Here is a 15498-nt window from a genome sequence, read left to right on the forward strand (position 1 = left end):
TTTACTGGTAATGTATTTATTTTCCTGAACAGTAGAAAAATTGAGTCTTGGACTATTTGACTTGTATTTTTCATATTTTGGCAGCCGAACTTAATGTGTTCATACTTGTTTTCTAAATGTAATTTTAAAGGAATTTACCAAGATGGAGTGGATAACCTGTAATTCCTGTAGTGAATTAGAGATATCACAATTTGTTTTCATTAATGAGGGCTGATTTAAATTACTGCTGTTATTGGCCTTTGCTGGTTATGTGTTTTGAACAATTGAAAATAAATATACTTAAAGCTTCTCCCACGGGGGCCATTTTACAGGTTCAGCTCTATGAAGATTTTGCTAAGTCTCGTGCCAAGTGTGATGTTGATGAAACAGTTTCTTCAGCTACACTTTCTGAAGAAACTGAAAAACCAAAGCTTAAAGCTACAGGCCACGTATTCCAGGTATAGATTACATTCTACTTTTTTTTTTTTTGAGATGGAATTTCACTCTGTCATCTAGGCTAGAGTGCAGTGGCATGATCTCGGCTCACTGCAACCTCTGCCTCCTGGGTTCAAGCTATCATGCCTCAGACTCCTGAGTAGCTGGGAGTAGAGGTGTGCGCCACCATGCCTGGATAATTTTTGTATTTCTAGTAGAGATGGAGTTTCGCCATGTTGGCCAGGTTGATCTCAAACTCCTGACCTCAAGTGATTCACCTGTCTTGGCCTCCTAAAGTGCTAGGATTCAGGCATGAGCCACCACGTCTGGCCCATCCCACTTTTTAAATGTTGAATAATGATTTTTAATGAGGCACTTTTTATATGGAATAATAAAATACGGATCTATGTATATTTGTTTCAATATTATGTATACATTCTTGAAAATAAGTTAAAATACCTATTTAATATATCTTAATAAGCACTTTAATATTAAAATTAAATGTATAAAATGCAATATATGTTTGTATATTACATGAAAAGAAGGGCTTTAGAATAGAGAATCTTTTGCTTTTTTATTCAAAAAATATTAGAACACCTACTACATGGCAGTAATTTTTCAAAGCTCTGGGATTACTTAAAACAGCAGATAAAACAGACTCCTTCCCTTGTAGAGATGAAAAATACTTAGGTATATATTATGTGTAAGACAAAGCCAATAATGTGGTTATAGTGTATCAGAGTCCAGGGTAGGTTGTGGTTTCTTAATCGAGGGGCTAGGGACTGCCTCACTGAGAAGGTGACATTTGAGCAAAGATCTGAAGGAGGATTAAGTCATGCAGGTGTATGGGGGGAAGTGATTCCAGGCAGAGGATACAAAAAGTACAGAAGTCTCAAGTCAGATCATGCCTCATATGCTTGAGAGAATAGCAAAAAGAGGTGGCAAGTGTCACTTTATCTTTCCCTCTTGAATAGTCCACCACAGAAAACCTCCTGCTAATAGATTAAGTACTGTAGCATTTTTAAAGATATAAGAAGGAAAAGATAGTTGTGAAGATCTAGTTTTTGTTTTGTTTTGTTTTGTTTTTTTAAGAGAAGGGGTCATGTTTTGTTGCCCAGGCTGGAGTGGTGGGATCATAGCTTACTGCAACCTCAAATTCCAGGGCTCAAGCGATCCTCAGCCTCAGCTTCCTAAGTAGGTAGGACTACAGGTGCACACCACCACACCTGGCTAATTTTTAAAAATTTTTTTAGTGATAAGGTCTCACCATGTTGCCCAGGCTGGTCTTGAACTTTTGGCCTCAAGTGATCCTCCCTCTTCAGCCTCCTAAGTAGCTGGGATTATAGGTGCAAACCACTGCACCTGGCCTCTCCCACAAGTTTTAATCCTAGTGCTCAGCACTGTCTTGAGCCTTGCCAATGGAGCTTACTAATAAAACATCTGTGTGCCAAGGCTGAGACCCAAATCTTAAGCCAAGTAAGAGGCAGAAGAGAAAGTGTGGCTGAATCAGAGAAGAGACCATATAAGGTTCTGTTTCACAAACACAACCACTTGAGACAGTCCCCTTCCTTGCTCCCCTCCTCTCATCTACTGAATCAGAATAATGTGTAGAAGGGAGAGAATTTCAGGTTTATAAGGTCCTCAAGAATTTTTTTTTTAAAGACTGAGTCTCGCTCTGTCACCCAGGATGGAGTGCAGTGGCATGATCTTGGCTTACTGCAACCTCCACCTCCAGGGTTCAAGCAATTTTCCTGCCTCAGCCTCCCGAGTTGCTGGGATTACAGGCACATGCCACCATGCCTGGCTAATTTTTGTATTTTTAGTAGAGACAAGGTTTCACCATGTTGGCCAGCTGGTCTTGAACTCCTGACCTCAGGATCCACCCACCTCGGCCTCCCAAACTGTTGGGATTACAGGGGTGAGGCACCATGCCCGGCCAGAAATTTTTACACTCACTGAAGTTTGAGCAACTTTTGTATCCAAAATGATCCCTGGTTCCAGAAGCATCTGTCTGCATTACCAGGTACTTTGAGTGGGAAAGGGTTTTAAAGAAAACAACTAAGACGCTCAATTTGCCATGGGAAGCTCATTGTCTGGTGGGGGAGACAGATATAAACAGTACAATTTATACGCGTTGTAAATGTCCGCATAGAAACTGCACAAGAATCTCAAATGAGACATTTGAACTGGTTCTTGAAGAATGAGTAGAAGTTTGCCGAGCAAGAAGAGGGAGAAAGGCATTCTAAACAGCATAGGAAATAGCATAGGGAAAGATACAGAGATAAAAATATTTGTGATATGCGAAATTGACTCATATATACTTTTTTTTTCCTCTTGAAGGCATTACAGTACTTACGTAAACTGTGCAACCATCCAGCATTAGTCTTAACACCTCAACATCCAGAATTCAAGACCACTGCCGAAAAACTGGCAGTTCAGAATTCTTCTCTACATGATATTCAACATGCCCCTAAGCTCTCAGCTTTGAAACAAGTATGTATGTCTTTTAAGTGTTAAATGTGTGTTGTACCCCAGGAATATAAATTCTTGGTAAATTTGCTTTTCTTAAAGATTACTACTGTGTTTACCATTTATTTTTAAATTTGGTTAAATTTTTGATACAGCTTTTTGTAAAAATGTGGTTAAAATATATACAGCACAAAATATGCCATTTTAACCATTTTAAGTGTGTAAATCTGAGGCATTATATTTACAATGTTGTACAACCATCAGCATTATCTTACTGCTAAAATATTTCCACCACCCAAACAGAAACTCTATATTCATCAAGCAATAATTCTTCATTCTCCCTTGTTCTAGCCCCTGGTAATCTCTAATCTACTTTCTCTATGAATTTGCCTGTTCTAAATATTTCATTTAAGTGGAATCATAAAATATTTGTCATTTGTGGCTTATTCATTAGTCAGTTTTATGGATATAGCACATTTCATTCATCCATTTCTGTGTCAGTGGACACTTGGGTTGTTTTCACCTTTTGGCTATTATGAATAATGCTGCAGTGAACATTGGCTTACAAGTATCTATCTGAGTTACTCTTTTTAGTTCTTTTGGCTAGAGACTAAGGAGTGGAATAGGTAGGTCATACAGCATTTCTATGTTTAACATTTTCGGGAACTGCCAAACTTTTTCACGATGACTACACCATTTTACACTCCCACCAGCAATGTACCAGGGTTCCAGTTTCTTCATATCCTTGCCAACACTTGTTGATTTCTTTTAATTATAGTCATCCTACTAGGTATGAAGTGATAACTCCTTGTGGATTTGATTTGCTATTCCCTAATGACTGATGATGTTGAGCATCTTTTCATGTGCTTATTGGACATTTCCATATCTTCTTTAGAAAAATGTCTAGTCAAGTTCTTTACCCATTTTGATTGGCTTATTTCACCTTGTTGAGTTGTGAAAGTTTTGTTTTGTTGTTGCTGTTTTTTTTTTTTTTTAATGGGGGTCTCACTGTGTTGCCCAGGCTGGTCTTGAACTCCTGGCCTCAAACGATCCTCCCACCTGGGCCTGCCAAAGCCCTGGGATTATAGGCATGAGCTACCACACCCTGCCGAGAAATTCTTTATAATTCTGGATATTAAACCCTTATCAGACATATGATTTGCAGATATTTTCTCCCATTCTATAGGTTATCTTTTTACTTCTTGATAATGTCTTCCATGGTTTCTGATGAGAAATCAGGTGTTAATCTTATTGAAGATCCCTTTTACATGACCATTTGCTTTTTTCTTGCTGCTTTCAAGGTTCTTTGTCTTTAAACAGTTTATAATTCATGTCGATGTGGATTTCTTTATTTTACTTGGAACTGCATACTCTATCATTTTGCTGATGTCACCCTCTTGGTGTTGCTTTTAAAAATTAATTTTTAAAAATTCTAGGATTTCAAAAGATTAAGGGAAACAATTTCAAGCACCAAAATGTTAGCACTATGCCATTTAGTTCTAACTACCCTTATAAACGAAGATTTTATTGTAAAATCTAGACTTTAGTAATTGTTTTAGCTTGTGGTCAGTAGTTATTCTGGCCTAAAGCTCATTGAGAACAACTAATGAATGAAGATTTTAGATTCCACATAGGTTAGTGTGGAAAATGTTATCTAATAGTGTATCTGGCATATATATCCAAATATGTATCCTTACATCACTAAACGTAAAATGGACTATGAACTTTCACACTGTAAAACTGAAGAATGATTGTTACCTTTAGATATATGGAATGGTTTTCTTGTTTGACCAAACCTTGCTGTAGGTCTTTATATAGAATGTTCATGGTTTTCCTAACATAGCTAGTATATTAGGTAAAGCTGTAAGATATACTTAGTCAAGGAATCCTCTAATTAGATCTATTTTCAAAATAAAAATTGAATTTCATCCATATTTGAATTTTACATAGGTTCTTACAGATTTTTTTTTTCCCAGCAGTTGCTAATTACATTGATCTCTTATTTTAGAGTGTGCTTCTTGTCACCCTGACACATCTCGAATTAAGATGCTTAGGAAGTCTGCAACTTAAAGAGGCCCAGATTTTTTCTGGCTGTCCTCACGGAAGACTTTTCTAGTAGCCTTCTTATCCATTTTCTTGGTTCTTTTCAGCCAGAGTGAAGGTTCTGTCTCAGGAAGGATAAATTTATTTTTTAAATCTAAATATGTATATGCTGTGAAGTTAGAGGAGAAGTCTTACTTGCTTTCTAAAAATCTGTTGGTAGAAACATGTTTATCAGCAAGTAGTGCTGGGAGAAGTATCTAATATTGCCAAAGCTAGAATGAAAAATTCCAGGAGGCTGTAATGAAGAACTAAAACTGTAGGTGAAATTAATGGAGATAAGCAGAGTCAGTTTTAAAAGAAAACACTTAGGTGTATTTTGACTATGTGAGACTTAGCAAATATTTTATATGAGGCAAAGTTGAGTTTGATTTGATGGCAAATTCACTATAAGAACGGTGTGAATTAGTTGCCAGTAAATAAAACTAATAGGATCTTGGCTGGGATTAATAACTATATAACGGCCAAAATGGGGGCATCATAGTTTCACTGTATTTCATACTAGTCAGAACAAATATTGAGTTGTTTTTTTTTTTCTTTTTCTTTTTGAGACAGAGTCTTGCTCTGTCGCCCAGGCTGGAATGCAGTGGCGCGATCTTGGCTCACTGCAAGCTCTGCCTCCTGGGTTCACGCCATTCTCTTGCCTCAGCCTCCCAAGTAGCTGGGACTGTAGATGCCCACCACCACGCCCGGCTAATTTTTTTTTGTATTTTTAGTAGAGACAGGGTTTCACCGTGTTAGCCAGGATGGTCTCGCTCTCCTGACCTCATGATCCGCCTGCCTGGGCCTCCTAAAGTGCTGGGATTACAGGTGTGAGCCACCGTGTCTGGCCCAAATTTTGAGTTTTATAGTTTTGACCACTACAAGTGGAAGATCAAAATGGTAAAACATCTAGAAGCCATTTAATATGAGGAATGATTGAAAAAACGGGTAATTTAGCCTATGCTGAAGTTAGGGCAAGATAAAATTGAAATGCTCTCTGGGGTGTCAGCTGACCTCTCAAACACCCATTATTAGATGGCCTTGGTAAATATTTGCTAGAGTCTAGTAATCAACTTTTCAAGGCCCTGAACTCGATCAGTCTCTCAGAGCAGACTTGGGTTATAGATTAGTGAGAATACCAGAGTATCAATTCTGCTACCAGACAGAGATACTTACGTCAAATGATATGTCCACATATTCAGTAGGATAGCTGCACCAGGGAAAGATTACATTAGGAAGAATGTCTGGTAAGTATGGTCTTGGAGAAGTCCTAGTTGGATATTCTTAATATAACTGGTTATCTTTAAGGTTTTGACATTGCTGCCTATGGAACTGAGATAATTGAGTGTGCATGACACAGACATTCTGATAAAATTTCACTCTCTGGAACTCTTATGGGATCTGTATAGGATGTCACACTTATAACACTTTTTTTTTCTTCTCCTAGAGAGAGGGTCTTACCCTGTCACTCAGGCTGGAGTACAGTGGTGTGGTCATAACTCCAACCTCAAACTCTTGGGCTCAAGCAATCCTTTCACCTCAGCCTCCCAAGTAACTAGGACTACAGGTGTGCGCTACCACACCTGGCTAATTTTGTTTTGTTTTTTAGAGATGGGATCTTCCTATGTTGGCTAGGCTGGTCTGGAACTCCTGGCCTCAAGCAGTCTTCCCACATTAGCATCCCACAGTGCTGGGATTATAGGCATGAGTCACTATGCCCAGCCAATATACATTATTTATACTGCGTACCACATAGTCACGTCTCTCCTGAGACACCTTAGATAGGACTTTTTAAAAGAAACAGCTGAATAGTAATTTGATCGCAGATTTAAGGCAAGATGTAGGGGTAATTACATCGATCAGACTTGTTTATTTGGAGGAATGTCTCCCTAGTATACCATATTCTACTATATAATAAAAATCTCAAACTTTAAGGGCTGTTAGGTAGAAGAATGAGAACATGTGTTCTTCCTCAAGCATTGAATTGTGACAATAGATGTGAAATGTTGTCTACCAGGGAAGATTATTAGAGATTCAGTACCCAAAGTTTTTACTGGGGGCTGGTCACATATACTCCCTTTGCCTAGCATGGATCAAAATTCCAGACCCTCAGAAGGCAGGTTTCAGCCTAAATCATATTATTTGCACAGTAGTTTAGGCACAGTAAACTATCATTACCAGTTAGGGACTGATGGGAAGACTCCTAAAATCCAGGTTCCAAATTTCAACCTTACGAAGAGGACTTTCTGAGGAAAACAGTGTCCTTTTCTATACAACATCCTAAGTGTTTTACATTGAGTTTGGAGTTTGCCTGGATGGCCTTTTGGTTATCTTTCCTATCAGAGCTTTTGGTGTTTTGAGTAACTTCTGTTAGTAGAAAGGAGAAATCATCCTGCATGAAGATCTTAGATTGGCCCGGTACAGTGGCTCACGCCTGTAATCCCAGCACTTTGGGAGACTGAGGCAGATCACCTAAGGTCAGGAGTTCGAAACCAACCTGGCCAACATGGCGAAACCCCATCTCTACTAAAATTACAAAAATTCACTGGGCGTGATGGCAGGCACCTGTAATCCCAGCTACTCAGGAGGCTGAAGCAGGAGAATATCTCGAACCTAGGAGTTGGAGGTTGCAGTGAGCCAAGATCACGCCACTGCACTCCAGCCTGGGTGATAGAGGGAGACTCTGTCTCTAAAAAAAAAGATCTTAGATTTTGTTTTTGCAACCTCCGCCTTCAGGGTTCCAGCAATTCTCCTGTCTCAGCCTCTCAAGTAGCTGGGACTACAGGTGCATGCCACTACACCTGGCTGTTTTGCATTTTTAGTAGAGACAGGATTTCGCCATGTTGGCCCGGCTGGTCTCGAACTCTTGACCTCAAGTGATCTGCCTGCCTTGGCCTCCCAAAGTGCTGGGATTACAGGTGTATAAGCCCCCACTGCCGGCCCAGCTCTTAGATTTTGAACAGAGTTCAGTAATAGCTCAAATACTATGGATGAAGAAGAGTACTATTGGGTATACTGTTTGTCAAATTGATCTAAACATGATTCTCTTGGATTTTATTCGCTCATTTATTAATTGCACTTGCTGTGTGCAAGGCACCGAACCACTTTAGGAATAAGTATAAATGATCTATAGCAAAATGTGGTTTCTGCCATTAAAGATCTTGGTCTACAGATAGAGTAATAAGCTGTCTTGTCAAGAATCCACATCTAGCTAAATGCTTCTTTTCTATAATTTTTTCTACCAAATGTGGCTGCTCCATTGTTTTCTTCATACATTATTGAATAACCCTTTAGGAACCAGTTTGTCTGCGGCATCTTCTTTGTCATTACTTTCAATAAACATTTATTGAGGCTTTAGTCTCAAGGATTGAGGAAAAGGAAGGTAGGTTTGTTATTAGATAAACTTCTGGGCCGGGTGTGGTGGCTCATGCCTATAATCCTTGCACTTTGGGAGGCCGAGGCAGGAGGGTCACTTGAGCTCAGGAGTTCAAGACCAGCCTGAGCAACATAGTGAGATCTTGAGTCTATAAAAAAAATTAAATGAAAACTTCTGAAGAGGTGATCAGGGAGCTCTAAGCCTGAGCACCTCAAAAACTAGTTCAGTGTGCTGCAGGGTGACAGATTGCAGCCCAAAGTGCTAATCTGCTTTCCAGATTTCAGGTACATTTAACCTTTTCTTGCCACAGAGAGGAATGTCACAGTGAGATTAGTTTTCTGCTTTTATTGAACGCTTATGTAGTTTTTTTTTTTTTTCTTCCTAAGTTGCTGTTGGACTGCGGTTTGGGAAATGGCAGCACTTCCGAGAGTGGCACAGAGTCTGTTGTGGCCCAGCACAGGATACTGATATTCTGTCAGCTGAAAAGCATGCTTGATATAGTAGAGCATGATCTCCTCAAACCTCACTTGCCCTCTGTCACTTATTTGAGATTAGATGGCAGCATACCTCCTGGTCAGAGGCATTCCATTGTTTCCCGGTAAGTGGCTTCTAAGACTCTTATTCATAAATAAATATATTATTACTTACATAGAAGTTTGCCCCATGAAATATTTTCATTGGCTAAATATCTGCAAATGCATTTTTTTAATTGTGTAATTCACCCCAAATAAACCCCTTTTTAACTATAGAACTACATAAATATAATCGAATAGATTATTTGCTTAGCATATGAAAAGGGTGTGACTGTAATAGAAAAGCACTCTGAAGAGCATGAAAGAAATTTAAGGCATCAACCAACAGTAAGGATAACTACTTTCCCCCTTACCTTTTTGGGAGAATTAGGGTGAGAGGAACCAAACAAGTGGCTTAGCTAAAATCTCCATCCTAATCCCTGTTTGTGCACTGAGAACAAGTTGGAATCTGGCCCAGCTAGGAAGCAGAACTGGTGAGTGCAGTGTTCACATGTGGTCTGCAGCCTCTACTTTTAAAATCTCAGTGGTTGCTTTTTTTTTTAAAAAAAAAATGCAGATTCCTAGGTTCTGCTTAGTCCCAAAGCTGCTGACTTCAAGAGTAGCCATTTTTAACAAGCATCCCAGCTGAGCGCGGTGACTCATGCCTGTAATCCCAGCACTTTGGGAGGCCAAGGTGGGTGGATTACTTGAGGTCAGGAGTTCAAGACCAGCCTGGCCAACATGGTGAAACCCTGTCTCTACTAAAAATATAAAAATTAGCTGGATGTGGTGGCACATGCCTGTAATCCCAGCTACTCTGGAGGCTGAGGCAGGAAAATGACTTGAACCCGAGAGGCAGAGTTGCAGTGAGCAGAGATTGGATTGGGCCACTGCACTTCAGCCTGAGCAACAGAGCAAGACTCTGTCTCAAAAAAAAAAAAAAAAAAAAAACAAGCATCCCTAAGAGATCATTAGGCACAATAAAGTTAGAGACCCGGGGAGGGACTTTGGAAGCCGACAGGCTCAGGTTTGACTCCTGGCTCTGCTATTTAAGCAGTGTTCTCTTGAGCCTGTTTATCATTCACACAGCCTCAGTCTCTCTAAAATAGGGATATTGGTAATAATACCCTTATAGAGCTATTGTAACAATTAAATAAAATAATGCATATAAAGTACAAAGACTATTGCTTGACTTGTAGTAAGGATAATAAATCGTAGCTTGGTAGCTGCTATTTTTAATGTTAGTTTTTTCTTTTTCCTAGAAGTTACTAGATATCCTTTGTCAGTGTCTTCTAGGACTAGTACAGTAGTAGCAACCCTAACACTCTCACCTTCTGTCGTCCCTGAATGAAAGTCTAGCCTGTTCTCACACTTCTCTGTCCCCATACTTTAAAGGTTCATAGTTGGGTTTATCTTAATTATAATTAGCATTTAATTATATTTTTGCAAGTTAGTCCTTACCTGATGTTACTAAATTCAATGCAGTTTGCCTTATTTTGTATTTATGAAATTCCTGAATAGCTTTGGAATGCCCTCTTTTACTAAAAACGTTATACATATTGAGAGGATATTTTTCTCAGATGATCATGTAAGTATCCCTATTGTGGATTTTTAAAGCAGCATTTTCATTTGTGCTCTTTAATTTTTATTAACAGTTTCTGTTATAGGACTTAAGAATGGACTAATTTTATTTTTGTTATCTACTTTTAGGTTTAATAATGATCCATCTATAGACGTTCTGTTACTTACCACTCACGTTGGTGGCCTGGGACTTAATTTGACAGGCGCTGACACAGTAGTATTTGTGGAGCATGACTGGAATCCTATGCGAGATCTACAAGCCATGGACCGGGCCCATCGCATTGGGCAGGTAAAAGTCAATTTTACCTCACAGATGTTAACCTGTGCATGAAAATATACTCCCCCAGAAAGATAGGAAACCTTGGTTTAGTTCTTGCTCTGGTGTTAACATACATGTGTTATGACCTTGGACAGATCACTTAACTCTTCTGTGGTATCACTTCCTCATGCATTAAATGAGGTGCTAGCACTTAGGAAAACCTGGATCACTGTTCATCCCTAATATTCTGTGATTGCTGCACACATTTTGAGCTCATGTGGCCAGACAAAATAAAAATCCAACCCTAATTAGGTAGTATAAAATAGTACAAGTCTACAAGCCCTCTGACTCGTTGGAACCTCAAAGCATAATATGTGTTACGGTTGCTTAACTGTTTTTCTTATCCAGAAACGTGTGGTTAACGTATACCGATTGATAACCAGAGGAACATTGGAAGAAAAAATAATGGGGTTGCAGAAATTCAAGATGAACATAGCGAATACTGTTATTAGCCAAGAGAATTCTAGTTTGCAGAGCATGGGGACTGATCAGCTTCTTGATCTGTTTACTCTTGATAAGGTAAAGAACTTACACAATTTGTTGTATCTTTGAGTCACAGGCTTCCTGTGACTGCTAAGTTGAAAGTATTAAAGGAGCAGCAAAATGCGTTTACTTTAGTATCCATGAGATCACCACTGGAGGGAATTTTTGGTGCCTAGATAAATTCTGCAGCATACTAGGGGATGTGTGAAGTTTTGATTTTTTTTTTTCATTGATGTCTTCAGTGTCTTGCCACAAGGTTTCTTTCCTTAGTCCTTTTCTGCTAAAGCACAGCTTATCACTGGAGTCAGTAAGACTCATGGGTGAGAGTTCTTGGCCCTGCCTCCTGTTAACTGGTTACCTTAGGCAGATTATCTCTCTGAGCTTCTATACCTATTTTACTACATGGTTGTGATGTAAGATTATATATGTAAGCAGTCAGAAAGGATATCTAGTGTAGATTCTCAATAAATAGTAGCCATTGTTATTGCAGATGATGGAACTAATACATCAGATAACAATCTATAATCAAAAGGATGCACCACTTGGAAATATTAGTGAGTCTAATATTGTAAAACCAATATAGTTGGATTTAAAGTCCTACATAGGTTCAGAAAATCCACTGCATACTTAGTATAAATTATGGTGGGGTATATGATGATTAAAACTAGCTGTAATAACAGAAGTGTACTTTCAAGTAAGAGAAAATCGTTCTGCCATACTATGTGTATGTTAAACCACATTTGAAATATGTCTAGTTTGGGGAGCTACATTTTAAATGGTAACAAATTAAGTCCCTGGTGGCCAGAATGGAGGCAGGTTCTTCAATCATGTCATATTGAAAGTCAAGATAAAGTTGAAAGAATGAGACATGTTTAACATAGAAAAAAGAAGGCTCAAAGAAACATGCATAGCCGTCTTCAAATAGCTTTTATTCTGTTTGAAGGAATATTCTTATGGGTGACTTTCAGTGACCAGAACTGGGCTCAGAGGGATATTTTAGGGAAATGGCCTATTGCCATAAAAGGCACTATTTAGACAATTGGCAGAATTTGAAAACAGACTGTATATTAGAACATTTTAATATCAGTGTTAGATTTCCTTAATCTGATCTTTATATGGTTATGTAAGAGAATATTCTTGTTCTTAGGAATACATGCTGATTCCTCTCAAAGGATAAAAGGACATGATGTCTACAACTTTCTTTCAAATTGTTCAGAGAAAAAACTGATATCTAACTATATTTCTGACATCCATATATACATACACATATATAAATGGGGAGAGAGAATGATAAAGCAAATAAGTTCTTTGTTATGTTCTTATAATTCTTCCATAATTTTGAAGTTCTTTCCAAATAAAAAACTGACAAATAAATGTATTTGGAGATCATGAATTTCCCCATCACTTGAAGTACTCAATTCTGTTGAATAATTGTATTAGAAACAAGTGTGATTTTAAAGGAAAATACAATTTGTGAAGTTAACCTCTCATTTTATTTTTTTTTTTTTTGCCAATTTTTCTTAAGGATGGCAAAGCAGAAAAAGCTGACACCTCTACTTCTGGGAAAGCAAGTATGAAATCAATTCTTGAAAACCTGAGTGATCTTTGGGATCAAGAGCAGTATGATTCAGAGTACAGCCTGGAAAATTTTATGCATTCTCTCAAGTAACTATCAAATATTGTAAATGCAATTGCTGCTAGTTCAGTTACATTTCTGCTGATATTCAGCAAATTTCTAAGTTTATGGTGAACTTTTAACTCAATGTGTAAATAGATCTGGAGAATATTCAGCATAATGCTGGCTCTTGTTTCACTGGGGGAAACAAGTTATTCTCAAATATTTGCACTGTATTAAATTTAAATGTTAATGTGAAATGGTTTAAATTTTACATGCTGAAAAGCTGCAGAGCAGAGGAACCAAACCAGGTTTATTTGTGCTACCAGGAGGTGTTCTTAATGGGAACAGGCCTCCTATCTTTAGTCACTTTGTACAGGATGATATCCATGAGTACTTTAGTGTTTGTATATGTTTTTTCTTTTAAATAGAACTTGTTTTTATAATTGATTTAAAATAGGGCTTTTTTTCTATAAAAGCCTTAATGAGCCATAATTTTAAGAATATAAGAATAATGACTATGATATTGGTCAGTCTTAGAACATGAAAATGTCAGACAATGAATTTAATCGGGCCCTTGGTGGAAACATTTATATATTTAATGCAGATGCATAGTGTTTTTCAAATCTTTAACATCATTTTTTCAACTTTTAAGATATAATATCAACTATTCTAAATACAGGTAATGGTATATTTAAGGCTACCATAACATCCTATTTAGAGGGTGGTTTTTTTTAATTTATCTAATGGCTACGATATAGCCAGATTCAAATAACATATGTACTCAATAGGTTTCAATCATATATATAATATATTTTTTGTAACTATGAACATACACAGTTTTCCAGAAATAGATTTTACACTGTTTAGAATTCCAACACCTACAGTGGAAAGACTGTTTATTGTAGTAATGCATGGCTGAAGCATAAAAGGGAGAGAGAATTTCTTTATATACACAAACATACATGAATATGCATATCTATATGCATAGATGTACCTATCCTGCACCCAAAAAGGTGCCTGGTATTGGCACTAAAATCATGTAGTTATACTGGGCAGCAATAATAATTGGGCATGAGGCTGATTACTCAATGGTGAGGGTAGGTATATGTAGATAGATGTGCATGTATGTGTTTGTATATATAATTTTATAAGTTTCACGCATAAATTAATACATGCCTGTGTGCATACATATGTATGGGATATATTTGTATATATATGTACAGGTAATAAACATCCCCAAGGTTTGTGGCTGGCCATACACATAGGCATCAGTTTAACAACCATCAGACCTCAGCTGTACAATAACAGGTGTTTTGTTTAATTAAAATTATACTGTTCTGCAGCATTTAGACATTTGTCACATTTCATTAGCTTTGACAACCATACTGTAACATTAAACCTAGCATTCCACAAGAGAATAAATATAAGATTGAAACTGTAAAATATATGCAACTGTGTGTTATTTGTAGGAAATGGTCACTAGAAAGAGCAAAAGATTATTCAGGTATACAGGTTTTTTTTCATTGTTTAGGATTTTAACTCAAAACTTTATGTAGAACATTTCAGTATATTTGAGTTGAATATTTTTTTATTAACTATTTATTTGCTAGTTCCATAAACCAGCTCTTTAACATAGCTTATAGTAATTGATATTTTCTTAGAATAAGTACAGAGCAATATATCATTAAAGGGCTATGAAGGGGCAAAAGAAATCACACCATAAAAGTTAGTACTTTTTCCCAATCTGAAATGTCAGATAGAGCTAGAAGTCAGATATTTAGGCTGTTTAAACTTTCTGAGAGTTTAATCAAAAGGTGTGTATTTCTAGAAGGATGACTAGAAAAATGATGTGTGGTTGCTTCTGAATGGGAAACAGGAGTCAGAGCTGACAGGAAAACTTAGAGTGGCTATAACATTTTTAAAATAATCTTTTGAGTTGTAAAATAGTAAATCACACATTCCAACTTTTCCATAGAAAGGAAAACATGTAAACAGGTAAGAACTAAGTATTCTTAATTAAATGACCCAGTCATTGTAGTACATCTTAAGAATAATGAAGAGATGTGGAGAATTGAACTGAGTAATGAATGATATTAAAGAACTGCTGTCAATTTCATGGATGTGATGATTTGGTAGTTTTTTCAATGTATGGGTGTGGGAAGTCAAACAAGCATGATAGAATGTTAACTATTTTAAACTGGGAATTGGGTTCATAGATATCCATTGTACTACTTCCCTTGGTTTTTGTGTCTTTATGATAGGAAATAGCAAACTGTTAAAAATATAGATTCAGAGATTATTAGTCTTATCATTTGGGTTTCTTGTAGGAAAATCTTAACATTTGGGGGCCTGGGTATAATTTTTGTTTCATATATTCACTCATATATATGCTTATTGTATATGCTTATTTATTCTACAAACATTTCTCCAAAAAGTATTCTAGTGAAAGGGTAAAAGTCTTTGATGTTGGGACTGATTGAACTGGTATAGCCTTATTCCTTCTGGATGGTTTATATGAACTTACTTATTCAAAAGTAAATATTCCACTGAAGCTATTTGAGAATGTGATCACTTATAGACAAAAGTGGAATTCGAACATAATAGAAATTATACAAAAGTAACAAGCACTCCATCACACATCTGT

At 37.2% G+C, this 15498-nt stretch overlaps 1 protein-coding gene across 20 annotated transcripts in view; it reads left to right on the plus strand.

Annotated features, from left to right (window-relative positions):
- Positions 1–15409, plus strand: part of BTAF1 (B-TFIID TATA-box binding protein associated factor 1) — a 107668-nt gene extending 92259 nt beyond the window's left edge. For all 20 annotated transcript variants that reach the window (NR_165093.1, NR_165097.1, NR_165099.1 and 17 more), the window contains 6 exons: positions 312–437; positions 2755–2907; positions 8728–8939; positions 10564–10723; positions 11102–11272; positions 12762–15409. Coding sequence is in view for 6 of the 20 variants with exons in the window: in NM_003972.3 (NP_003963.1) it covers positions 312–437; positions 2755–2907; positions 8728–8939; positions 10564–10723; positions 11102–11272; positions 12762–12905 (966 nt within the window). In the remaining 14 variants the exon portion in view is untranslated. The remainder of the gene's footprint in view (positions 1–311; positions 438–2754; positions 2908–8727; positions 8940–10563; positions 10724–11101; positions 11273–12761) is intronic.
- Positions 15410–15498: the final 89 nt, after the last annotated feature.

This window comes from Homo sapiens, chromosome 10, assembly GCF_000001405.40.
Source record: "Homo sapiens chromosome 10, GRCh38.p14 Primary Assembly".
Classification (NCBI taxonomy): domain Eukaryota; kingdom Metazoa; phylum Chordata; class Mammalia; order Primates; family Hominidae; genus Homo; species Homo sapiens.